Source organism: Homo sapiens, chromosome 20 (assembly GCF_000001405.40).
Source record: "Homo sapiens chromosome 20, GRCh38.p14 Primary Assembly".
Taxonomy (NCBI): domain Eukaryota; kingdom Metazoa; phylum Chordata; class Mammalia; order Primates; family Hominidae; genus Homo; species Homo sapiens.
This window is the reverse complement of record NC_000020.11, coordinates 16,497,341-16,524,944: the sequence shown is the minus strand read 5'-3', so window position 1 is coordinate 16,524,944 and position 27,604 is coordinate 16,497,341. Positions and strand designations below refer to the sequence as shown.

The window sequence follows — 27,604 nt, the reverse complement described above, 5'->3', positions numbered from 1 at the left end:
CTGGTGTTTGGTTTTCTGTTCCTGTGTTGGTTTGCTGAGAATGATGGTTTCCAGCTTCATCCGAGTCCCTGCAAAGGACATCAACTCATCCTTTTTTATGGCTGCATAGTATTCCATGGTTTATATGTGCCACATTTTCTTTATCCAGTCTATCATTGATGGGCATTCGGGTTGGTTCCAAGTCTTTGCTATTGTGAATAGTGCTGCAATAAACATACGTGTGCATGTGTCTTTATAGTAGAATGATTTATAATCCTTTGGGTATATAACCAGTAATGGGATTGCTGGGTCAAATGGCATTTCTGGTTCTAGATCCTTGAGGAATCGCCACACTGTCTTCCACAATGGTTGAAATAATTTACACTCCCACTAACAGTGTAAAAGCGTTCCTATTTCTCCACATCCTCTCTATCATCTGTTGTTTCCTGACTTTTTAATGATCGCCATTCTAACTGGCGTGAGATGGTATCTCATTGTGGTTTTGATTTGCATTTCTCTAATGACCAGTGATGATGAGCTTTTTTTTCGTATGTTTGTTGGCTGCATAAATGTCTTCTTTTGAGAAGTGTCTGTTCATATCCTTTGCCCACTTTTTGATGGGGTTGTTTGTTTTTTTCTTGTAAATTTGTTTAAGTTCCTTGTAGATTCTGGATATTAGCCCTTTGTCAGATGGATAGATTGCAAAAATTTTCTCCTATTCTGTAAGTTGCCTGTTCACTCTGATGATAGTTTATATTGCTGGGCAGAAGCTCTTTAGTTTAATTAGATCCCATTTGTCACCTTTTGCTTTTGTTGCCATTGCTTTTGGTGTTTTAGTCGTGAAATCTTTGCCCATGCCTATGTCCTGAATGGCATTGCCTAGGTTTTCTTCTATGGTTTTTATGGTCCTAGGTCTTAGGTTTAAGTCTTTAATCCATCTTGAATTAATTTTGTATAAGGTGTAAGGAAGGGGTCCAGTTTCAGTTTTCTGCATATGGCTAGCCAGTTTTCCCAACACCATTTATTAAATAGGGAATCCTTTCCCCATTGCTTGTTTTTGTCAGGTTGTCAAAGATCAGATGGGTGATGTCATTTCTGCGGCCTCTGTTCTGTTCCATTTGTCTATATATCTGTTTTGATATCAGTACCATGCTGTTTTGGTTACTGTAGCCTTGTAGTATAGTTTGAAGTCAGGTAGTGTGATGCCTCCAGCTTTGTTCTTTTTGCTTAGGATTGTCTTGGCTATACAGTCTGTTTTTTTGGTTCCATATGAAATTTAAAGTAGTTTTTTTCTAATTCTATGAAGAAAGTCAATGGTAGCTTGATGGGGATAGCATTGAATCTATAAGTAACTTTGGGCAGTATGGCCATTTTCACGATATTGATTCTTCTATCCATGAGCATGGAATGTTTTTCCATTTGTTTGTGTCCTCTCTTATTTCTTTGAGCAGTGGTTTGTACTTCTCCTTGAAGGGGTCCTTCACATCCCTTGTAAGTTGTATTCCTAGGTATTTTATTCTCTTTGTAGCAATTGTGAATGGGAGTTCACTCATGATTTGGCTCTCTGTTTGTCTGTTATTGGTGTATAGGAATGCTTGAGATTCTTGCACATTGATTTTGTATCCTGAGACTTTGCTGAAGTTGCTTATCAGCTTAAGGAGATTTTGGGCTGAGATGATGGGGTTTTCTAAATATACAATCATGTCATGTGAAACAGAGACAATTTGACTTTCTCTCTTCTTATTCGAATACCCATTGTTTCTTTCTCTTGCCTTGATTGCCCTGGCCAGAATTTCCAACACTGTGTTGAATAGGAGTTGTGAGAGAGGGCATCCTTGTCTTGTGCTGGTTTTCAAAGGGAATGCTTCCGACTTTTGCCCATTCAGTATGATATTGGCTGTGGGTTTGTCATAAATAGCTGTTATTATTTTGAGATACCTTCCATCAATACCTAGTTTATTGAGAGTTTTTAGCATGAAGGGTGTTGAGTTTTTTCGAAGGCCTTTTCTGCGTCTGTTGAGATAATCATGTGGTTTTTGTCATTCGTTCTGTTTATGTGATGGATTGTTCAGTTTCCATGTGATTGTGCGGTTTTGAGTGAATTTCTCAATCCTGACTTCTAATTTGATTGCAGTGTGGTTTGAGAGACTGTTTGTTAGGATATCCATTCTTTTGCATTTGCTGAGGAGTGTTTTACTTCCAATTATGTGGTCAATTTTAGAGTAAGTGTGATGTAGTGCAGAGAAGAATGTGTGTTCTGTTATTTGGGGTGGAGAGTTCTATAGCTATCTATTAGGTCCGTTTGGTCCAGAGCTGAGTTCAAGTCCTGAATATCCTTGTTAATTTTCTGTCACGTTGATCTGTCTAATATTGACAGTGGGGTGTTAAAGTCTCCCACTATTATTGTGTGGGAGTCTAAGTCTCTTTGTAGGTCTCTGAGAACTTGCTTTATGAATCTGGGTGCTCCTGTATTGGGTGCATATATATTTAGGATAGTTAGCTCTTCTTGTTGCATTAATCCCTTTAACATTATGTAATGCCCTTCTTTGTAATTTTTGATCTTTGTTGGCTTAAAGTCTGTTTTATCAGAGACTAGGATTGCAACCCCTGCTATTTTTTGCTTTCCATTTGCTTGGTGAATATTCTTCTCTCCCTTTATTTTGAGCCTTTGTTGTCTTTGCATGTGAGATGGGTCTCCTGAATACAGCACACCAATGGGTCTTGACTCTATCTAATTTGCCAGTCTGTGTCTTTTAATTGGGGCATTTAGCCCGTTTATACTTAAGGTTAATATTGTTATGTCTGTATTCGATCCTGTCATCATGATGCTAAGCTGGTTATTTTGCCCATTAGTTGATGCAGTTTCTTCATGGTGTCGATGGTCTTTACAATTTGGTATGTTTTTGCAGTGGCTGGTACCAGTTGTTCCTTTCCATATTTTGTGCTTCCTTCAGGAGCTCGTGTAAGGCAGGCCTGGTGGTGGCAAAATCTCTCAGCATTTGCTTGTCTGTAAAGGATTTTATTTCTTCTTTGCTTATGAAGCTTAGTTTGGCTGGATATGAAATTCTGGGTTGAAAATTCTTTTCTTTAAGAATGTTTAATATTGGCCCCCAATCTCTTCTGGCACGTAGGGTTTCTGCTGAGAGATTCACTGTTAGTCTGATGGGCTTCCCTTTGTGGGTGACCTGACATTTCTCTCTGGCTGCCCTTAACATTTTTTCCTTCATTTCCACCTTGGTGAATCTGACGATTATGTGTCTTGGGTTTTGCTCTACTCGAGGAGTATTTTTGTGGTGTTCTCTGTATTTCCTGAATTTGAATGTTGGCCTGTCTTGCTAGGTTGGGGAAGTTCTCCTGGATAATAGCCTGAAGAGTGTTTTCCAACTTGGTTCCATTCTCCCCGTCAGTTTGAGGTACACCAATCAAACATAGGTTTGGTCTTTTCACATAGTCCCATATTTCTTGGAGGCTCTGTTCATTCCTTTTCATTCTTTTTTCTCCAATCTTGTCTTCATGCTTTATTTCATTAAGTTGTTCTTCAATCTCTGATATCCTTTCTTCTGCTTGGTCTACTCAGCTATTAATACCTGTGTGTGCTTCACGAAGTTCTTGTGCTGTGTCTTTCAGCTCGATCAGGTCATTTATGTTTTTCTCAAAACTGGTTATTCTAGTTAGCAATTCGTCTAACCCTTTTTCAAGGTTCTTAGCTTCCTTGCATTGGGTTAGAACATACTCCTTTAGCTCAGAGGAGTTTGTTTTTACCCACCTTCTGAAGCCTACTTCTGCCAATTCATCAAACTCATTCTCTGTCCAGTTTTGTTCCCTTGCTGGTGAGGAGTTGTAATTCTTTGGAGGAGAGGAGTCGTTCTGGTTTTTGGAATTTTCAGCCTTTTTGCACTGGTTTTTCCTCATCTTCGTGGATTTATCTATCTTTGGTCTTTGATGTTGGTGACCTTTGTGTGGATGTCGTTTTTGTTGATGTTGATGCTGTTTCTTTCTGTTTGTTTGTTTTCCTTCTAACAGTCAGGCCCCTCTGCTGCAGGTCTGCTGGAGTTTGCTGGAGGCCCACTCCAGACCCTGTTTGCCTGGGTATCACCAGCGGAGGCTGCAGAACAGGAAATATGCTGCCTGTTCCTTCCTCTGGAAGCTTTGTCACAGAGGGGCACCCACCAGATGCCACCCGGAGCTCTCCCGTATGAGGTGTCTGTCAACCCCTGCTGGGAGGTGTCTCTCAGTCAGGAGGCACAGGGGTCAGGGACCCACTTGAGGAGGCAGCCTGTCCCTTAGCAGAGCGTGAGTGCTGTGCTGGGAGATCTGCTGCTCTCTTCAGACCTGGGAGGCAGGAACGTTTAAGTCTGCCGAAGCTGTGCCCACAGCCACCCCTTCTCCCAGGTGCTCTGTCCCAGGAAAATGGGAATTTTATCAATAAGCCCCTGACTGGGGCTACTGCCTTTCTTTCAGAGATGCCAGGCCCAGAGGGGAGGAATTTAGAGAGGCAGTCTGGCTACAGCGGCTTTGCCAAGCTGTGGTGGGCTCTGCTCAGCTTGAAATTCCTGGCGGCTTTGTTTACACTGTGAGGGTAAAACCACCCACTCGAGTCTCAGTAATGGTGGATGCCCCTCCCCCCACTAAGCTCAAGCATCCCAGGTCCACTTCAGACTGCTTTGCTGGCAGCGAGAATTTCAAGCCAGTGGATCTTAGCTTTCTGTGCTCTGTGGGGGTGGGATTTGCTGAGCTAGACCACTTGGCTCCCTGGCTTCAGCTTCCTTTCCAGGGGAATGAACGGTTCTGTCTCATTGGTGTTCCAGGTGCCACCAGGGTATGAAAAAAAAAAAAAAACTCCTGCAGCTAGCTCGATGTCTGCCTGAACAGCCACCCAGTTTTGTGCTTGAAACCCAGGACCCTGGTGGTGTAGGTACCCGAAGGAATCTCCTGGTCTGCGAGTTGCGAAGACTGTGGGAAAAGCGTAATATTTGGGCCTGAATGCACCATCCCTCACGGCACAGTCCCTCATGGCTTCCCTTGGCTAGGGGAGGGAGTTCCCTGACCCCTTGCACTTCCCGGGGTGAGGCGGTGCTCAACCCTGCATCTGCTCACCCTCTGTGGGCTACACCCACTGTCTAACCAGTCCCAGTGAGATGAGCCAGCCGGGTACTTCAATTGAAAATCCAGAAATCACTTGCCTTCTGCATTGATCTTGCTGGGAGCTGCAGACCAGAGCTGTTCCTATTTGGCCATCTTGCCAGCCACCAAAAGTACTTGTTTCTTGCAGTTTGAAATGTGTCCATGCACCAGAATCATCAGTACCGCCTGGGAACTTGTTAGAAATGTGAAATCTCAGGTCTTATTCCAAGACCTACTGAATTAGATCTGAATTTTTTTTTAGCAAGATCCCCAGTTCTCTGTGTGCACCTTAACATTTGAGAAATGTAGTCCATTTGTAAATGGTTTGTGGAGGAAGTTGGCTTTCTGAGACAATGTAAATGTTAAAGTTGGAGGACTGGAGCGACTATATCCAGAAGATACTGAATCAAACATCTGGGAAAAATAGGAGCTGGGTGCAGTGTTGCGCACTTGTAGTCCCAGCTACTTGGGGAGCTGAGGTGGGAGGATTACTTGAGGCCAGGACAAGTCCAGCCTGGGCAATATAGCGAGTCCCTGTCTCTTAAAAAATTAGGGAAAGATAGGAAGGAATGGCAGTGATGGGAATGGGAGCCTCACAGAGAGAGGTGGTGCCTGGTCTGAAAGAAGGCCTGGGAGAGGAAAGATAAACTGATGTTGGTTGAACTTCCATTGTTGTCAGAAACTCTGCTTGGTGTTCATATGTGCTATGTTGTTTAATCCTCACAGGAATCAAATGTGTTAAATTTTAACTCTATTTTTCTTTGTTGAAGAGATTCAGTAAGCTTAAGGAACTTGCTCAGGTTTGTAGACCTAATTGACTTTTAATAGTAGCAGAATTGGACCATGGGGCTGTACGGGTGCTGGAGATGCCACTGGAAGGTCTTAAGGATGTGGACGAGAAGGAGTGGTGTGTTCACGATGACAGATGGATCAGGCACAGGAAGTGGCTGGCAGGTCGCATCCCTGCTATAAATAGGGGAAGATGCTAGTGTAGCATGGTGTGTGTGTGTGTGATTTGAATGTAAAGGCATATTGAGAAAATATATCATGTCTACTACTATAGTTCAATTTTCCCTTAACCTTGAACAAATACCAAGTAAGATGACCGTTAATATTTTTTCTCCCAAATTAATTTTAGAATTAGAAAAAAAATCAATGAGCAACTTAAATCTACAGTCATGTAAATTAAAGATCATTAAACAAGGTCTGATTTTCTTAATGGTTCTTCAGAACTCCAAAGGGAGGCTTTGATCTCACACAACCTGTTCCTTAATTCAACCCAGGAGAAACTTGAAACCTAACATCTCCCAGTTGACATGCCCGATGAGCGAGTTTTTATTTTAACAGTGCCCTCTTGTGGGCAGTTCCCCTCAAGTGAGGCCCCAGTGATGCCTTGGATTACCCAGGAAATCAGCTTTCAAATCTGTGCTCTGACAGGCAGCAAGGTGGATTTCAGGTAACCAGGCCAGCCAGGTTCTGATGCCAGCGGGGAAGAGCAGTTGTCAGTCTCATAAAGCAGGCCCCGCTTCCCACCTTGGTTGTGGGGGCGATGCTCGGTGCATCCTCTGTGGGAGCTGTGATGGGGGTATCTCGATTTCCTTGCCAAGACCTCTGGAGAGATGCAGGCAGTGCCGGCTGCTTTTCCAGGTCATAGCGCCAAGTTTGGGTGGGTTATTTGAGACTCACTGAGAATGAGTCTGAGTCTGAGCCAGCCCTGGGTCTCTGCGCCTCCAGACCTGGATTTTCTAGACCCGTTTGCAGTCATGTCTCCTGGCCCCAAACCCCCTGAGCCCCTGAACCGGAAAACCGCCTGGGTTAACTTTCTGGGCAATGAAGTAATAGCAAAGTGGTAGGCATAGATTTTAACCCTAGGGAATAATTTTATTCTGAAAACCTTTGGGTTTGGTTTAAATGTGATATTTTCCATGACTTTGGTTTAGCCCCAGGCCAAACTATGAGAAACAGTCCTTCTTTATTCTTTGAAAAGTTTTTAGAAGACTTTTTTCCTTACTAGTGAATTCATAAAAAATGGTATTTGCCTTTTGTGTTTTGTTTAATCTGAGAGAATTGGGGAAATATTTAATTTTTACTCATATTCCATATACAGTGGTGAAAATGAGCCTCCAACTGGTGGTCTGGAGTCCTGAGTGCCCCTGGGGTTCCTGACTTTTGCTTCTTAAGAGAAGTTCAGGGAGGGGCCCTTCCAGGTAGGATTGGGGCCTGGTTGTTGCTTTCGAGGGTGTGGGAAGAGGACACATCACAGTGATAACTAAGTCCTGCATGCAGTCCCAGCTCTGGCACTCCCTGGTGTGTTCCCAGTTACCTGACTTCTCCCCATTCAGCTTCCTCATCAATGGGTCTTGTAACACTACTCTCCCTGTAGCGTTTTGATGAGAATTATACATGAACACACGAAAGTGCTTAGAAAGACCGGAGTAAGTGTGAGTTGCCATTATGGTTGAGACTTGAGTAAGTCATCAGAATTTGAGAGCAAGATTGAAAACTGTCAGCTCTTAAAGCTAAAATGGTTAAGAATTAACTCAGAATGAGTGAGACTGGCAATTTGTGGAAATGACCCAATGGAAATAACAGTTTGTTGAAATCTTTTACTGATGAGGCTGAGGAAACAAAGTCTGTAGAAGTCAGTGGGAAGATGGATCTGAAGACAGCTGAGTTCCAGTTGGCTGTATTTTCATCTTGTCCTTGGATGACAGGCTGTGTTATCAGCAGGGATGGTTGAGGTGCAGCTGAGATGGAGATGGCCAGGTTTACTGGCCCTGTCTAGGGTGTGGGTGTTGTGGCCAGAGGGGAGTTGTCTCCATATGTCTGCACTGATGTGGGCCATGTGCACATCCTAATGGGAATCTGGCTTCCATGCAGGGTCCCTGTACTGCCTGTGCTGACTGGCAGATGTGAGTGCTCTAGGTTACTCCTCAAATGTTGCCACGCTTTGAAATCACATAGGGAGTTTAGAAGAATATGGATTCCTAGGTTCACACCCCCTTAGATTCATATTTCACTGGGCTGGGTTACTGGCCTGGCCATTGGACTTTTCAAAGCCTCCCAAGTGATTGTAATGGGCTGCAAAGTTTGAGACCTGCTGCTCTTGATTTGGCAGTAGCTGGAGATGACTATTTGGTTGATCCGTCTGGGTCCCATGAGTTGGCTGATGTGGTGTCACTCATAGACCGAATGCTCCTGTAGGGATGCTGAGGCCCCACCTTGGACGTTGGTGACACCACAGAGGAGCCCTTCATCTGGAGCTGACAGAGCTTCCTTGTTTGGCATCTCCTCAGCTGCTGTTGTGCCTACTTTTTGAAGCAGGGAGATGCTTTATGTGCCCTTAGTGTGCTGGGCTGAGAGGACAGGAGACTACATGAAAGCTTTTGTTGTCTGTTTCCAGCTGGCTATAACTAAGACTTTGAACCTTGATTTCCTTCATTTACCATCAGTTGTCTGGGTGAAGCATTTGTACTTCACCTCCTTTCACTACCCAAACTGTAATTATATGGAACATCGGACGTGGATTCAGGCCATGTGTGTGACCCCCACCCCAGCCCCACACAGCTTGTCTCCCTGCCCTCTCCATCCTGGGCAAATGTCCAAATAGGAAAAAGCATCTGGACACTGACATGGGGGAGCCCAGCACCCCATCCTCATCTACAGCCACCCGTCACTCAGCTGCATGAGCACCTGCAGAGGTTGATTTTGATGACTAGCTGGACCCTTAAAATGATGGCATTGATTTGGCTTGGCTTGGGCAGTAATTTCTGTGACCTTCAGGTTTTGAGTATTTTGTTTCTGGAAACTCTGATAGAATGAATAGCTTTATATATTTATATAATTCTGAATGGCTAATCATCATGCTTTAAAATAGTCTTTGCTTCTAAACATGATTTTCACTTTGCCTTGTTTACATTTTTATACTTCATGATATTTTTTGGTAAACTTAAGTAGGAAAGAGGATGGGGCTGCTTTTTGTTTGCTTAAAAAGTTTATTTTTGATTAAAAACTGTGGTGTCTACATATGTTGTTGTGAATGGTTCTGCAGTGATTTATTTATATGGTCTAATCCTTAAGAGCTGAAAGTATCATTCAAGAACATTGTCAACACTGAAGGGGCTATTATTAAAATCTATGATAATTGTATCTTTTGTGTGTTCTTTTTGGCTTTCAGGTTTTCAAAACCCTCGGCACAGATGTCGTGAAGTCTGCATTTGAAGGTTATAATGCTTGTGTCTTTGCATATGGGCAAACTGGATCTGGAAAGTCATACACTATGATGGGAAATTCTGTACGTTGTTTATACTGTGTGGGAAGGAAATTTCTCATTATCTTTCTCTGGACTGGTAGAATGATCTCTTTTATCTATTTGGTCTGTACTAACTTTTCATGTTCTGATTATTCTTTAGTAATAAGATAAAACTCAGTAATAAGTTGGACTAAATTTCCTTTGAGAGATTTTAAATTAGAAATAGTTTTAAGTATATAAGCATGAATAATGGATGCAAGTCCCTGCTCATTTTCTGTTTTTAAAGGCCTTATAATCTTATCAAAAAAGTGTGTTGGGCCCGTAAGTAATTTATTCTTCTTTTCTGCCAACACAACAGTTTGAATAAAATTACTGAAGTCTGTTCTTTTTAAAATTATTCAAAACATTTTTCCCCAAGAAAAATGTAAAAAAAATTCTAACTCTTTGATAGAAAGGTACTACATAAATCCTGAAAATACATTAAAAAGTTAGAATTATATAGTTTATATAATTTACATATTTATAAACACACCGTATGCAGTTTTATAAGCTATGTAAGTTAACTGATATTAATGTTATACTTGCCCCAAAATACAGAGGAGTAAAAACTAGGAATTATTGCAAGAACTTTCTTGTTCTGTGTTTTCTCCAGATTTAGATCATTCTTCTGTTTTCTTTTTTTTTTTTTTTTTTTTTTTTTTTTTGAGATGGAATCTCACTCCGTCGCCCAGGCTAGAGGGCAGTGGTGCGATCTCAGCTCGCTGCAAGCTCTGCCTCCTGGTTTCAAGTGATTCTCCTGCCTCAGCCTCCCAAGTAGATTACAGGTGTGCACCACCACGCCCTGCTAATTTTTGTATTTTTAGTAGAGACGGGGTTTCACCATGTTGGCGAGGCTGGTCTCGAACTTCTGACCTTAGATGACCCGCCTGCCTCGGCCTCCCAAAGTGCTGGGATTACAGGCGTGAGCCACTGTGCCTGGCCTGTTTTTTTTTTTTTTTTTTTTTTTTCTTATTTCTTAGTGAGAGCTCTGTTCATTGCCTGCCAAACCTGTGGCATTTTTGAGATGTAGAGACACTAGTGGAAGATGATTGAGGGCTTCCTGCTGGCACACATGTGGTGTCTGTAATGCTGAAGGTTTGGAGGTTCATGGAAGTCGTGTGTTAGAAGACAGATCTTTCCAGAATAAATTATTTCAGGACATGTAACCTCACTGCTTACATCCAGGCTCTTCCTTTACACAAGAAGTCAGTAAGTGCTGTTCGGGAAGTCTTCTCCGAAAAGGGAAGAACAAATGAGAGGAACAAACAGCTAATTTCGAGAGTTTCACATTTCCTTTTATCATTACTTCTCACTTCCTCCTTTCCTACTGTGCCTTTGGAAAAAAAAAACAAAACTTCCAAAAGTGAAATTTGTATGTTGATTCCCTAGTAACTATTTTATGTAAGTCAAACATTTATAAAGCACTCACAAATTACAAGTGTTTTTCTCCAATCTTATAGTTGAGTGCTGCTTGGGTATCCTTTCTTCATTTTAAAGTAAGAACCAAAAATACGACGTAAGACTCATTTTTCCTTGTTAAGAATTAGTACTGATTTAATGGTACAAAGAAAAAACAATCTCTGAACACAGTCATGCTTTCTTTTATTTTTTTGGGTGTGGGGGTTGAGTGAAGGTAGGGAGGGAACATGTGAATAAAGCATTGATGCTCTGCCTTGGTTTCCTAGCAAGATCATTTTGCCTGATTTTTACTATATTCTGAGGTTCATCAGCTTTTTAAGGTTGACTGAAACATGAACATTATTGAACGTTATACCCACATTGTATAAATAATATGGTGTATTAAAATTTTCCATCGAGGAAGGCCAGGGTAGGGGTTACTCTGTCAAAGGAGGGACATAGCATGTGGTTTTTTTTTTTTTTTTTTTTTTTTAAACGTAGTTTTGCTCTTGTTGCCTAGGCTGGAATGCAATGGCGCAATCTTGGCTCACTGCAACCTCTGCCTCCCAGGTTCAAGCGATTCTCCTGCCTCAGCCTACCCAGTAGCTGGGATTACAGGCATGTGCCACCACACTCAGCTAACTTTTTGGGTTTTTAGTAGAGACACAGTTTCACCATGTTGGCCAGGCTGGTCTCAAACTCCTGACCTCAGGTGATCCACCCGCCTCGGCCTCCCAAAGTGCTGGGATTACAAGTGTGAACCACCGCACCCGGCCAGCATGGATTTTAATGTGGTCTTGTTACCTAAGTTTTTAAGGCAATTATTAACTACCGTGGGGATTGCTAAGTTTTTCTTGGTGTTTTTTTGCCTGGTGTGTATTTCACCTACCTTGTTCATTTGAGCATGTATTTTTAACATTTATTGTACAGTTATAAACTGTCTTATTTAAATGTTAGAAATTAAGTTTCCTTGTTTGTAAGCCATGATTTAACTAACAACTGATAACCGTATATTATCAGAGTCCCAGCCTGTATAAATCAGAAGGCTCAATCATCTCATTTCAGAGAGTAGAAAGCAGCCCTGGAGGGGGTATATGGCGTGGGCTGTGGTAGGCCAGGGGTTGGCATACAGGTCACTTGAGTCTAACTTCATGCCAGCAAATTGCAAATTCAGTCATCAGTTGCTTTTATTTTGAGTGACAGCTGTGACATTGGTCTTTCCCATGCAGGGAGATTCTGGCTTAATACCTCGGATCTGTGAAGGACTCTTCAGTCGGATAAATGAAACCACCAGATGGGATGAAGCTTCTTTTCGAACTGAAGTCAGGTAGGGCCTGTGGCCTGGGTAACTGTGTGTGAGCTTGATTAGAGTCAATGCTGGTTGGCCTGCATTTAGGTGCTGGAAATGGATAAGGTCTTTAGATTCCTAAAGAAAAAGTCTTCCCTTTTCCCCTCCTGTGATTATGGTTTGGGGATAAAGCTTAAAACACATAAGTTTTTAGTGATTTTCTTGGGTACAGTTTGGATAAAGATTTGGGAGCTGGCAGAAATAACAGCTTGGGCAGAAACTAATGTGGGATGTTCATCTCAAATGGAGTGAGCTTCTGACTTTTAAGTGTATACCAATTACTTGCTTCATTCTTTTAGCTTAGTAAGGTTTATATTATTCTTTGTGTTGGTTGGATCATTATAAATCTAATCTACAAGTAAATCTGAGTGGTTGAGGTGCTTTTTCCTCCTTGAAATTAAACCTGTGAGGGGAGCCAGTCTCTTCGGTAGTTTCAAGGGCAGACATGGCAATATAGGATTTTTACACCTACTTGACTGCTTTGTGGTCTTGGACAAGTTATTTGAATCACACTAAACCTCCCTTGCCTAACCTATAAAATGAGGATAGTAGTGGTACCTATCTCTGGGTATTGTGGAGATTCAATGAAATAATCCATGTCTAGTACTTAGCATGGTACAGGAAGTCCTCACTTAATGTACCTTCCTTTTTTTTTTTGGAGATGGAGTCTTACTCTGTCACCCAGGCTGGGGTGCAGTGGCACACTCTTGGCTCATTGCAACCTCCACCTCCCAGGTTCAAGTGATTCTCCTGCATCAGCCTCCTGAGTAGCTGGGATTACAGGTGTCCGCTACCACACCCAGCTAATTTTTATATTTTTAGTAGATGTGGGGTTTCACCGTGTTGGTCAGGCTGGTCTTGAACTCCTGACCTCAAGTGATCCATCTGCCTCGGCCTCCCAAAGTGTATTACAGACGTGAGCCACCACCCCTGGCCTAATGTCGCTTCTTGATACAGTCTTGGAAATCGTGACTTTAAGTGAAACAACATATAATGAAACCAGTTCTTTTTCTCGTCAACATTATAGCAATATGATGTTGAAGGAAGCATTGTTATTTGAGGACCCACTGTATGTCCTTTCCCTTAAAGTTGCACTTTCCAAGAACCTGTCAATGACCTTAAGTGAGGACTCATTGTACCTGATACACAGTCACCACTCATAAATGGTAACTGCTGCTGTGGCCATTTATGTCAGCAGGTTGCTGCTGTTATGTGTTGTTACTGATATTAATGTCTGAAATCATTTTTCTGAATTCAATTTTATTTTAAATTTTTAGCTACTTAGAAATTTATAACGAACGTGTGAGAGATCTACTTCGGCGGAAGTCATCTAAAACCTTCAATTTGAGAGTCCGTGAGCATCCCAAAGAAGGCCCTTATGTTGAGGGTAAGAGTAGATATTTCACAGCCATATTCTTTTTGTGATCTATGTAAAAATAACACTTTCAATGAAAAAATATAGCATAATGGTGAGCTTTTAAAAATTTATTTAATTTTGGAATTTTATTATAGTAAGAATGTCATGAGCTGTCACTACATGATGTTCCGTTAGTGAATTTATACTTCACTGGCCATCCGTTGATTTTATGAGGCTTACCAATAGATTTCCTCTGTCTTTAAGAAATCTCTGGAATTTTCTTTTCCAAATGTAAGGCAAGGTAAGCAAACCTGCAATCTGTCTCTCTAAATGGCATTGCATTTTTGCAGTGTATCTTTACTGACCCTAATGGTGATATATGACAATAAAGATATTCTGAACCTCTTGCGTCTTCGGAAGTGTGTTTGGAGGATTTCCTCTGTGGGTTTCAGCATCTGTGTTGTGATACGCTCGTTGTGGCACAGTCAGTTGTGAGGAATGCCACAAGCAATGATGAGTACAGGATTGGCCTTTGCTAATTATTTAAGAATCGGCTGGATTTAAAACTGTCCTCATAATGAAGCTGATCTTACCACCTCTGTATAAGGCAACTTAGAATGGCTGGACTGCAGGAATCGCACATAGAGATGTGCTTTCATGTTCTTCATTTGTGTCTTTGTGGATGCAGGACAGAACTGGTCACAGGTTTAAAGTTCTTCCTGGTTTTGGTTGTCTTCTTTTCCTGGGAGATACCAGATATAACAACAGGACCCCATCTGTATTCCTTTTTTTATCTTTTGGGACGGAGTCTTGCTCTGTCGCCCAGGCTGGAGTGCAGTGGTGTGATCTCAGCTCATGGCAACCTCTGTCTCCTGGGTTCAAGCAATTCTCTGCCTCAGCCTCCCCAGTAGCAGGGATTACAGGCGCCTGCCACCACACCTGGCTAATTTTTATATTTTTAGTAGAGACAGGGTTTCACCATCTTGGCCAGGCTGGTCTTGAACTCCTGACCTCATGATCCACCTGCCTCGGCTTCCCAATGTGCTGGGATTACAGGTGTGAGCCACCACGCCCGGCCCATCTGTATTTTAATAAATTTCCACTTAAGCTTTTGCCTTGTATGCCCAAAGCAAAGCAGGGTGTGCCAGTATGTAGTTGTTCTGTGGTGTGTGGTATAGCTATTACTGTTAAGAGTTTTTAGCCTAACTCATGCCTTCATGTTTTCTGACAAGTGTCTTATCACATGTTAAAACATATAAAACTGGTGTATGAAGAGATAGAATAGCAAAACAGAGCAAACATCCAGAATCTGACCTAGATACTTAGGGGAATTTAGTTTATAATCAATGTGCTATTCAAACCTTAGGGAAATTATTAGAGGGATTATTAAGCTGTGTAGGAGGAAAAAAAAGTAAATTGGCACCACAACTCAGTTTTACACCAGGATAAATGGTAACTAGATTGAAGATTTAAGTGCAAAAATATTAAATAATAAAATGACTATAAAAATCCGTGGGTTAATTTTTTTCCCGGAAACCTGGAGGAAAGAAGGCTTTTAAAAACCTGACTTAAAACTCAGAAACTATAAAATAAACAATGTTAAATTTGAAATGGTTAAACAAAGAATAGCAAAATAAAACATCATACTTGACAGAAACACTGTAAGCAAAGTAAAAAGCTTAATTACAAAATAGGAAAAATATTTTGAATTCAAGTTTTAGACAAAGGACTAATTTTCCTACTATATAAAGAGCTCCTATAAATCAGTAAGGACAGATTCAACAACCAGTAGAAAAATGAACAAAGAATATGTATGACTAGGCTGTTTGTAGAAACGGAAATACAGATGATTTTTAAATGCAGGAAGGAATGCTTAGCATTTCACTCATAGTAAAAGAAAAACAAAATAAGAATACTTGGAGGTAACATTTGTCACCCATCTTTGGCAGATGTAAATAATCCTGATAAGACTGTATTGTGGAGGGTTTTGGGAGACAAGCACTCTTATACCTTGCTACTGCTGGGTGTAAATTGCCCTCTATGGAGAACAATTTTGCAATAGTTATCAAAATTTCAACTGTCTAGAAATTCCACCTCTAAGAATTTATTCTGTATAAACATTCACAGGCATTTGAAAAGACTTATGTGCAAGGTGATTTGTAGCAGCATTACTCATAATTGGAAACAAAATATGAACAACTGCTGTAGTCTCCATGGTTAAATTGGTCGTGGTACATGCATATGATCCAATCCCCTGCAGCCTTAAAAATGAATGAGGAAACACCTTAACTGATACAGAATGTTCTTTAATGTATTAATCCATTTAAAAGCAGGGTACAAACTAATGCTTATTGTATGCTACCATTTGTATGTAAGGGGAAAAAGATAATTATATATAAATATGATTGCTTGTGTATGTATAGGTTATTTCTAGAAGGGTATGTAACATTTGGTTCCCTGACAGAAGGGGAAGTGGGGAGCTATAGCATAGGGACGGGGGACCTTTTACACAGTGTAACTGTGTAGCCTTTGACTTTAGAACCATATGAATGTTCCAAAAAAGTTAATAAAATAATTTGTTAAAATGATTTAAAAAACACTTTTGGGTTTTGCATGAAGGCAGTGCTTTTGCATTTTTCTTGTATGTGCTATGACTAATGTGAATGAGGTTGATGATAATATAATAGCTAACCTTTTTTTAAATACCGTATGTCAGAGGCCTCTAACCCCCGGGCTGCAGACTGGTACTGGTCCATGGCCTGTTAGGAAGTGGGTCGCACAGTAGGAGGTGAACAGCCAGGGAGCAAGCGTTACTATCTGAGCTCTGCCTCCTGTCAGATCAGTGGTGGCATTAGATTCTCATAGGAGCATGAGCCCTATTCTGAACTGCACGTGTGAGGGATCTAGGTTGTGTGCTCCTAATGAGAATATAACCAATGCCTTATCATCTGAGGTGTGGAACAATTTCATCCCGAATCTGTTCCCCCTACCCCTATCTGTGGAAAAATGGCCTTCCATGAAACCGATCTCTGGTGCTGAAAAAGTTGGGGACCGTGGCCCTATGTGGTAGGTACACATGATCACGTGAGGTAACTGAGGCACAGTGAGGTGAAGCAGTTTGTCCATAACTATGTAAGTCCACGGCTAGTAAGCAGCAGAGCTGGGATTCGGCCCCAGCCACCCAGCTCCCAGGTCTGCATTACATACCACCACCCTAGAGAGACAAGTGAGGTCTTCAGACAGGTCAGCAGATTTTGGAGTTGTGTATTATTTCATAGAGGGTAATTTTGTATTCCATTTCCTATATATTAGGGGGATTTCTTCACCCCTTCCATTTTCTTTTTCAGATTTATCCAAACATTTAGTACAGAATTATGGTGACGTAGAAGAACTTATGGATGCGGGCAATATCAACCGGACCACCGCAGCGACTGGGATGAACGACGTCAGTAGCAGGTCTCATGCCATCTTCACCATCAAGTTCACTCAGGTAAGGGCTGCTGCGGGACCAGCTGGCTCCATCCCTGAGGTCTTTACTTGCTGATTAGCACCAGCTGAGGACTGATCATTGTTGAACCAGGAGCAGCAGCAGGTAAAGGTGACTGACTGTCATTTTCTTGTTAATTAGAGTTGAACATGTGCTGTGCGCTGAGTTTCTCTGTGGTTACAATCACAGTAATTTGAAATATCCTGATGTGTACCCTTAAGAAATACTTAGAAGGCTTCCACCCTGTTCTAGACATAAAACAACTTGCTCTGTGCTTAATTAAGCAAAAGTTTTCATTGTTGCAAACTCTGTGGGATATAATGGATTGCGAGTCAGACCAGCTGGAAGCCAAGGTGAGTAACTCAGTGCAGTTCATTACCGCTCCATGGCACTCATCTTGCCGTGTTGATGATGATTATTAGAATGATATTAAAGGGCAGCGAATATTTATAAGTACTAATGTAAGAATTCATTATGATCAAGAGGTGGAGAGCATCTTGAACATCTGTGGAAATTATTGAGGGTAAATATTTGAACACTGAGGCCAGTAGAATAGATGAATGCAAAAATGTAGGGTCCTGTCAGGGTCTAAGTATATGCTAGGAGCTTGGGGATGTCCTTATCTGGGTTAACAGTTGGACACATCAGATACAAAGAGGCAGCATTTTATTAATGAGGGAGATCAAAGAGCACAAAAATGAGTTTTCTAAGGCCAGTCAGAACAACTTGCATTAAATTCTCCACATCTTAATCTTCTGTTAGACCTTTCCTTTAGATTTACTCAAGTTGATTGGTTTTTCTCCTGCTTTCTGGTTAGTGCTTGATTAGCATATTACCATCTCTAATTTTTTTTTTTTTTTTGAGACATGATTTCACTCTGTTGCCCAGGCTGGAGTGCAGTGGTGTGATCACGGCTCACTGCAGTCTCAACCTCTGGGCTCAAGTGATCTCCCACCTCAGCCTTCCAGGGAGCTGGGACTGCAGTGCACAACACCACGCCCAGCTAATTTTTTTTTTTTTAAGTTTTTTCTAGAGATGGTGTCTCACTATGATGCCCAGGCTGGTCTTGAACTCCTGGGCTCAAGCGATCCTCCCACCTTGGCCTCCCAAAGTGCTGGGATCACAGGCATAAGCTGCTGGGTCTGGCCACCATCTCTCATTTCTAAGAGGTTTAAATTTCTATAAAAATATAGTAATCTGGCGGGGGGCGCATTTTGGTTCAAAATGTAACACATAGATCAGAAGTATTTGTGAATATAAAATTTTGGTAGAATTCAGAAGCGAGGAATATAGTATTTAAGATTTTACATTAAAAGAAATAATTTGTGCAACAAGATGTTTTAACATCCGATAATGGTTGAATGCTCTTTTCCGTACTTGTCTATATTGATCATATTTTGGAAAGCTTTTGTTCTTGGAAGGCTGGGATTCTAGATGAGAATAAAAATTATTATTTGCTTACTTACATTTCTCTGCTGAGTGCCACTCAGTGCCTAGTTTTCTGTTCTGCCACAGCCTGATTCAGCAGGGCTTGGTTGAGAATGAAATGCTTCTTTAGAAAGTTTAAGAATCATATACAGTAACTTCTTTTGCATTGGATTAAATTTGAGAAGTTTCTGTAATCAGTAGGAAGGCCAGTAAAACAATAAAATTGAAAAATATCTACCCTGAGAGATCTCAGTGAGGAGCAGAAAATAGTTAGAATTCATATCATCAACAACATCAGGGCCCTTTGCACCTCTTCAATTTTACTTTTTTATTTTACCACAGGCTAAATTTGATTCTGAAATGCCATGTGAAACCGTCAGTAAGATCCACTTGGTTGATCTTGCCGGAAGTGAGCGTGCAGATGCCACCGGAGCCACCGGGGTTAGGCTAAAGGAAGGGGGAAATATTAACAAGTCCCTCGTGACTCTGGGGAACGTCATTTCTGCCTTAGGTATGCTTACGCCTGGCTCCTGCCTCCTCTGTTTCCTCCTCTTTTTCCTCATGTGTAATATTTGGGTTGCAAACTGAGGTAATTTCTTCAAGGTTTTATGAAGCAAAAGTAGAGGAAAAAAAATTTTACTAATTGTCCTTTCTCCCCTTTGTTTCTTCCTTTTCATAGCTGATTTATCTCAGGATGCTGCAAATACTCTTGCAAAGAAGAAGCAAGTTTTCGTGCCTTACAGGGATTCTGTGTTGACTTGGTTGTTAAAAGATAGCCTTGGAGGAAACTCTAAAACTATCATGATTGCCAGTAAGAGTTTTAAGTTACTTTTCTGAGCATACAATATTTTCTGTGAATTAACTGTAAATATTTAAGTTTAAAGTGTCTTATTAGGAAATAGCACCTTTTACATCTTAAAAAAGTAATGGTTTTTCTATCTTGAGGAAAATCACCTCCTATGATCCTGCTATGATCCAGTCTATAGTATCATCATTAACTGTTATACCACCTTGCCATATTTTGGAAGCTGTGATAACATGCACGAAGACTTTTCAGCTTTTCTTTGCTTAAAGTGCAAGGTAGAAATTTACCTCATAGGAGAAAAATCATAGGAACACAAGGTCAAAATAACCCAACTTTGTTTTTTTATTTAAGGCAGTAAATGCGGAATTTAAAAGTAAGAATTGGGAGGGGAAAAAAAAACCCAATGCATAAAACAAATAATGGTAACAGCAGTATACTTTATGTCAGTATTTCAGCCAATAATTGAAAGAAGCAGAATAGAGAAAAAAACGTAGAAAGGGGAGATAATTGTTTGGGAGAAGTCAGGACTTGTTTCCCTTCTGACTCTACTTTCCCCTCCCTCTTCCTCTCTTTCCTCTTCCCTTCCCCTCTCTTCATGCCCTTCCCATGCTTCATGCCATGTGCTAACTATGGAGCCACGGGATTTACCCTGGTTTGTACACCCACATGCATTTGTATAGTCACCTAATCCTTAAAGTTGAGTGGTAGTGGTGGAGGTGGGTAAGATTAACCAAGCTTTAAGAAGAGAATGGATAGATTTGTGACCCTTTTCAAAACTTATCATATTCTGTTTTTTTTTCCAGACAGTAGACTTTGCCAGAACTTTTAAAAGTATTTGAATTCCTACTTAATGTTGAGATGACAAATAGTCTTTAAACCTTCTTCTTACGTTTTCAGCAGGGAAAACTACCTAACTATAGGGGAATGTCTCATATCTCATTTTAGACTTGGTTAGGTGGTTGATTCTAGATTTGAGAAGAGCAAAATGACACTTAATTTTGTATTGTGAACACTCTTTCCTAGAAATGTTAGATAATTTTTCATATTCATTACTGTGGCAATGAATATTTAGTCTCTCCAATGACCTGGGGTTAATCTGACTTTTAAATTACAAACCAACTTTGTGTTAAATGGAACATGGAGTGCTGGATAAATTATTTTTTGAATACATTCTTCACAGCCATTTCACCTGCTGATGTCAATTATGGAGAAACCCTAAGTACTCTTCGCTATGCAAATAGAGCCAAAAACATCATCAACAAGCCTACCATTAATGAGGATGCCAACGTCAAACTTATCCGTGAGCTGCGAGCTGAAATAGCCAGACTGAAAACGCTGCTTGCTCAAGGGAATCAGGTTGGGTTTTTCTGAGATTTATGGATAATTTTCTTTGAGTAATGGCATCTATTTCTAGATCTTAATGAGACAATTTTCTCACTCATGCTATTGATTTGAGTAAATAAGTGCTAAGTAAAGCTTTGAATGAGTTAGCCAGTCCCTCGTTTACATCAACCTCTTGTCAGCCTTTGCATTCATTACGGGCTGCATGTGTAAGATTTTATCCACTAAACCTGAAATGATTAACTCTCTAATAGTTATCAATTATGAATGGAAATGTACTATGCAATAGGATTAATGGCATAATCTCTTTAAGTGGAAAGAAATTGATATGCTTAGAATAGTATTTAAAATTTCACCCATGCATTTTATGACTTTAAAATGTGTTTTAACAGAATAAAAGACTTGTTTGAACACCTTTCTGAATGCCTGTGTCATATCACCTATTAGAGAGGTGGTTCTGGTGGCCCCGCGACACATGTATATTACACCTGTGATCTGGCTGAAATGCTGTCCCTGGGCCCTCGCTTGATTGTTGAAATAGTCTCATTTTAGGATCTGTTGGGATTCTAGTGAAGATTCCTTGTCTTTGTGATTTTCTCAGTAAGCTTCCTGATAGTCTGCATGGTGTATGTACAGAGTTACATTCCGTGATGATTGGTGGAAGTAAAGTTCTGGTAGGCTTTGATATTGCTGTGAAGAAAGGCAACCCTTGAAAGAAAATGAAGGATAGCTTTTTTAAATGTTGAAGTTAGACTGGAGTTACCCTCCTTTCTTAACTCATGAATGGATGTCTTAAGTATATCGTGAAAAGAAATGCTTTTCTTTATGTGCAGAGTGGTCCCGTTGGAGCAGTGCTTTCCACGTGGGATTATGTGGCACTTGAAGCTCTTGGCATCCCATAAATGTTTTGAAAATACTGATGGGATGAAAACCTCACTGAATTTCCTGTGTCCTGAAATGTACCTGGCAGTTCTTTCCCACAAGATGGTGGACAGCAGTTGAATAGGAATTGTTCATTGTGCTTAAAAATATCTCCACATGCATTTTGCTCTATGGTGGAAGTTGTCAGAATGAAGAGTCCAGCTCCACGTGATGAGGCCCTTATAACATGAACCACAATAGTCATTTTTATTTATACACCTTGTTATTGGAATCTTTTTCTTTTCTTTTCTTTTTGAGATAGAGTCTCACTGTGTTGCCCAGGCTGGAGTGCAGTGATGCAATCTGGGCTCACTGCAACCTCCACCTCCAGGGTTCAAGTAATTCTCATGCCTCAGCCTCCTGAGTAGCTGGGAGGTGCCTGCCACCATGCCTGGCTAATTTTTTTGTATTTTTGGTAGAGACGGGGTTTCACGACGTGACCAGTCTGGTCTGGAACTCCTGACCTCAAGTGATCTGCCCGCCTTGGCCTCCCAAAGTGTTGGGATTACAGGTGTGAGCCACCGCGCCCAGCCTGGCATCTTTCTCAGTGTTTTTAAAACATTGTTTATATAAAGTAAGCCTTTAATGATGATTTGATTGGATCACTCAAATTACTATATGTGAAGGAAGTATTTGGAAAATTCTATGTGCAGTTTCTTGTGCTTAACCTTTTATTAGGTTAAAAGAATGAAGGGTAAAAATATTATCTTTTTAAAATTAACTGAGGACATCATTGGAAGGAATCTTATATAGATTAAAAACCTTTAATTTATTGAAACTTTACATTTTCTCTCTGAAAAATGCCTTCAGAGGTATTGTTATGCCATATAGTTGCCTTATATTTTGTAGTCTTTTTTCCTTTTCCTTTTATGACTTATTACCACTGCTGTGTTTAAGGGAGTATTTTTGTTGCTGTAATTTTGGGGGTGAGGATATAAAAGACAGTTAAGTCTATTTCAGAACGCATTGCAGATAAAATTTTTGATATACAATATATTACAATAAAAATGTGAATCCAATTTAAAATAATTTATCGTGCTATGAAGCTGTAAATTGTTTTGAGACAATATAGGCTTATCCTAAATTAATTAAATTTATGAAGCTTAATAAAAACAGCAGGTGTTCTTAAATGTCCATTAAACATCTCTGTATACATTTTTCTGGGAGTATTGCTCTATTCCTAGAATATTCTATACCAGGTACTGCTGTGGTTCATTGAGAATGTTATTCAAATCTGAGTTCCATTTCTAGGGTTATTTTTTTTAAGCACAGCTAAATAAAAATCAACTTCTACTTTTAATAATTTTCTGTCTTTCCCATTGCAAAAAGTCATGTGCATCAGAGTTTTTAAAGCACCTTTTTAGTAAAGCAAAAGGTTTTGACATGTATTTGATTCTTCTACTATGTAGATCTAGATATGTAGATATATGTAGTAGTTTATATATTTGAATTTTTTATTGACGTATTATCCCCCAAAATTGCAAGTTATATGTGTATAGTTCAGTGAGTTTTCATAAGCTAAATTCACCCATCTAACCTGCTTCTTAAGAGACAGTACAGTACCAGTATCCTTGAAGCCCCCCTTAATCCTTCTTTTCAGGAACTACTCCCCTTTCTCTCCAGGGTAGCCACTCTCCTGACCTCTACAGGCTTTGTTAGTTTTTATTTTTGCCTGTTTTTGTTCTTTATATAAATGAAATAATGAAAAATATTCACTCTTTTGATCTCACTTCTTTCAGTCAACATTATGTTTGTGAGAGTCACCCATGCTGTTGCATGTAGTAGTGGATCCATTTATCCTCACTGCAAAGTTGTCTTCCATCATGCAAAGATATTCCAGCTCATTTGTCCATTGTACTTTAGATGGGCATTTGAGGGGTTTCCTATTTCGGGCTGTTACTGCTTTGTAGACTTTCCTCTAGATGTTTTTAGTGAACATATGGATACATTTCTGTTAGATTTATGTCTACAAGTGGAATTGGTGAGTCAGAGGAGTACATATGTTCAGTTTTAGTAGATATTGCCAAGCAATTTTCTAAAAGTAGTTGTGCCAGTTAATAGACCACCATCAGTGTATAGAAGTGCCGGTTAAATTCTTGGTATTGAACCAAGAATTCAATTCTTGGTATTGAACCAAGAATTCAATTCTTGGTATTGAACCAAGAATTCAATTCTTGGTATTGAACCAAGAATTCAATTCTTGGTGTATAAAAGTAGTTGTGCCAGTTAATAGACCACCATCAGTGTATAAAAGTGCTGGTTCAATTCTTGGTATTGCAACACTTGATAATGTACAGTTTTCATTGTAACCATCCTAATGGATATATACCAGAATCATAGAATAATTTTACTTTGTGCTTCTCAGGCGATTGATGAAGCTGAGTATTTGAATATCTTCTTTTTTAAAGGTTTTATTCTCTTTTATTATATTTAAATGTATTTTCAGCTATTTCTGCATTTAATTTGGCAGAGAGAAAATGTCTCTTGACTTCCTCATCTCTCTTGAATGTATCTGGAGACAACAAGTAAATCAAACAGTATAGAAATGAAAAACACAACCAAAGGTGGGAAGCAAAGAAGATGATGGGAAAGGGAAGATGAAAGTAGAATGAATTACTCACTCTTGTAGCTGAGGTTAAAGATAAATTTTAAATAATAAAAGTATCATGTGTAAACTTTTAAAGAAGACACATCTCAGATAGGGTCACAAAGTAAAACTCAATTATATGGTGTTTGTAAGAATGGACAAACCAGTGAATTCAAGAGGAAAGAAAGCGGTGCAGAAACAGCATTGTGTGAGCTTTAAAAAAGAGCACTTTATCACGACAAAGGGTGCAACTAACAATTAAAATCAGACATGATATCAACTTTCGTAATTGAAAAAAACAACAAAACTGTTCGAAATAGCAGGAGACAAAGCCACACACATTTGTCACAGAAAATTTTAACTCTTCTTTCTCATTCTGTGAAAGCTCACATAGACAAAAGTAAGAACATAGCATATTTATATAACATAATGAAAATTTGCTCTAACCAATACAGACCAGGGAAAAGATTGCTGATCATGCAACAAAAGACTACCTTTTATGTTAGGAAAGGAGGTTCATTGAAAACATAAGACAACATCATAACACAGCAGGAAAGGGGGCAAAGGACGTGAACACAATCCATAGAAATAGAGTTTCAAATGCTTTCTGTACATGTGAAAGTATATTCAATGTCATTGAAATACAATAAATGCAGATTTTAAGAATAGTGAAATGGGTATACGTATACATGTTCGTGGGTACATCAAGCAGTGGACCTTAGATTTATGTATTTGGCTGCATGTAGATGATACCTCAAAGTTCTTTAAAAACAGGATGTCCTTTTCACCTGTTGGGCAAAGAACAAAATTGATTATACAGTATATTGATGAGGGTGTGAGGCAAGGGGTGCTTGTATAAGTTGTTAGTAGAACTGCTATTACTACCCTTTTGTAATAGTGTTTTTGAGGTAGTGTTACTTTTGATTTAACAACGTATGAACTTAATCTGATTATTATTTGATTTGAAACACTTTTCTTCTAAAGATACACCTTGCAAATAGTAATTTAATTGAAAATGGTACTTTTACCAATGATTTCTTTTAAAAGGATTTAGGAAGGTCGTTCTTTACACGTGCTTAAAAATAATGTTCCAGAAGGGGTGCTGGTCATGAGTCTTTGTGCTTCTATTCAGTCCGTGATTGTCTCCTGACTTGATGATGTGGCAGAACTGTTTCAGCTTTGATTATCAATAAAAGTCTCAACAATGGATTCTGTAAAATTACCCACGTTATAAAGGGCTTTCTATTTGTTTTGAAAATTGTCAACCACATATAAACAATGCAGTAATACTAACATCTGCCACTTTCATGTCTTCAATGAAAAATATTTATTAAGTACCATCTCTGTGCAAGACAACATGTTAGATGCAATGATGCATTGTAGTAACATGCTAACAAAGCTCCCTTTTCTTTACTGAGGATGGATTTGACCTTGGGTTAACTTTCTGGCTTCATTCTATGCAAACCAGATAAAAGTGGGATGACACCTGTCTAACTAGGCAACATCCCTAATGACGAAAATGACCCCTAACTGGTGAATTACATCTGGATTAGGATGAACTACATATGTACTATTAATATCAGCTGAGAAACCATAGCTCTGGGTTTCCTGGAGGACAGTGACTCTTGTAACAGGGTGTGTCCCTTGTGGGGCCCCTGGAGGATGTGCCTTTGGCATTTTTGAAAGAGATGCTGGGTTCTGTGGGTGTGGGCTTCTAACCAGGGTGGGTCCCACAGACGCCTATGTGAATCTCGACCCCTCACGTATGAATGGTTACTCAGGAAGGCCAAAGACAATAGCTCGGGGACATCTCTGAGGACTACTGCATAGACTGTCACGAGGACCTTGCCTACCAAGACGAACGCTTATGCTCCTTTCTGGCCAGCTCTGCTTTCGTTCAGTATACAGATACCAGGTGTGGCCCATGGTAGTCTTCATAGTTTGAATGTTTAACAGTGCCGAAGAAGATCACCTTGTGGGTGTTTTTGTTTGATGAGAAATTGAAAAGTAAATAGTCATTAAAAAAATGCTACAGTCTCTGGGGAAGACAACTTGGCAATTATAAAAAATAAAAACCATACGTATAGATGACTCACAAATTCTTCTTCTAGGAATTTATTCTATTCATAGAGCCATGCATACTGTAGGCAGTGGGCATAAGGATAGTCCTCCTGAAAGATTAAGAATACCACATTTATGTTAATAGGAGAGCACTAACATGAATCATAGAAATCTATACAATGGAATATTGTATAATTAAATTGGAATTGTTAAAAAGAGTGAAGCAGTTTTTTATTTTTACTGAATTTTCTCTAAGATATATTGGTGTGTTAAAAAGGCAATGTCCAGAATAGTGTTTTTATGCCACTTATATTTAAAAACACGACAAAAAACACGCTTGCATATGACCAGAGTAACTGTAAGTTTACACAACCAAATTGGGAAAAAGTGATTGCCTGCGGGTAGGATAGGAGGGATATTCTCTTTCTTTTTTCTTCCAAGGGATATCTTAGGCCATGAGAAAAGGAGGCAGAATAGGAAGCACAGTGTCCCTGCCACTCAGGTCAGGGACTCACATGTTAAGAGTGCAGTTTAAGCCCCAGCCTGATTCCGTTTCCCTCTCTTGTCTCTGTCTGCTTGTCCTGCTCAGTTTTAAACTGATTTTGGTATTTATCATTCTCACATCAATCTTTACACTTCTTCGACAGGGATAAGGAAATGTAATCAGAGATTGTCGTGTAGCCATGCCATATGGGGTATACCATCAGCAGTGAAAATAAATGCGTTTCATTTTCATGTATCAGTAAGAGCAAATCTCAGAAGCCTGCGGTTAAGCAAGACTTAGGCATGGTCCCTTTTGAATGTTGGACTCTGTACATATTAAAAGAGGCGAATCCTTAAGATCTAGGGATTTAGACTGTGTTTGATTTTGGTAAAATGTCAATATGTTACATCTTTTGCTTTGCTGATTTGTATTGCAAATGTAGGTTTACTGGGATGCCATGGTTTTGAATATTATGAGAGATGTATCCCGTGGAGTAAAGACTTGGTGATATTCAACACTTTTTGGCAGGGTGTAGGACATTGCTTTTTACCTTTAATAGTTTCTGTGAAATTTTGGATAATTTACTATATTCAGGGAAAAACCTAGATTATTGCTGTTTATTAATTGCTGATTTCTTTTATGGTTTATATTGTAGATTGCCCTCTTAGACTCCCCCACAGCTTTAAGTATGGAGGAAAAACTTCAGCAGAATGAAGCAAGAGTAAGTGATACTTTGACTTATATTTTTAAATCATAACTTTTACTATTATTTTAAGTGCATGCTTTTTTAGGACTTGCCGTTTGAGATGCCTTCTTTTTCTTTATTGCACTTAGCCTCCTCCCTCGTTGGTGATCATTTTTGAAGAAGCACGATAGCTGACATTTTATGTATTGCAGCACATTCTCTGTGGTTTAATAAACGGGATTTGTCTGGCACATGATGGTTAGTTAAATGGATATGCAGATCCTGCAAAGCAGTGAGGCTGCTCAGGT

The 27,604-nt window shown here is 39.8% G+C and overlaps 1 protein-coding gene across 17 annotated transcripts in view; it reads left to right on the top strand.

The window, feature by feature from the left end:
* Positions 1–27,604, top strand: part of KIF16B (kinesin family member 16B) — a 301,345-nt gene that overhangs the window by 48,504 nt on the left and 225,237 nt on the right. For all 17 annotated transcript variants that reach the window (XM_047440266.1, XM_047440264.1, NM_001199865.2 and 14 more), the window contains exons 4-11: positions 9,281–9,397; positions 12,022–12,119; positions 13,418–13,527; positions 16,845–16,987; positions 18,755–18,923; positions 19,092–19,223; positions 20,398–20,573; positions 27,267–27,332. In XM_047440266.1, the coding sequence (XP_047296222.1) occupies positions 9,281–9,397; positions 12,022–12,119; positions 13,418–13,527; positions 16,845–16,987; positions 18,755–18,923; positions 19,092–19,223; positions 20,398–20,573; positions 27,267–27,332 (1,011 nt within the window). The remainder of the gene's footprint in view (positions 1–9,280; positions 9,398–12,021; positions 12,120–13,417; positions 13,528–16,844; positions 16,988–18,754; positions 18,924–19,091; positions 19,224–20,397; positions 20,574–27,266; positions 27,333–27,604) is intronic.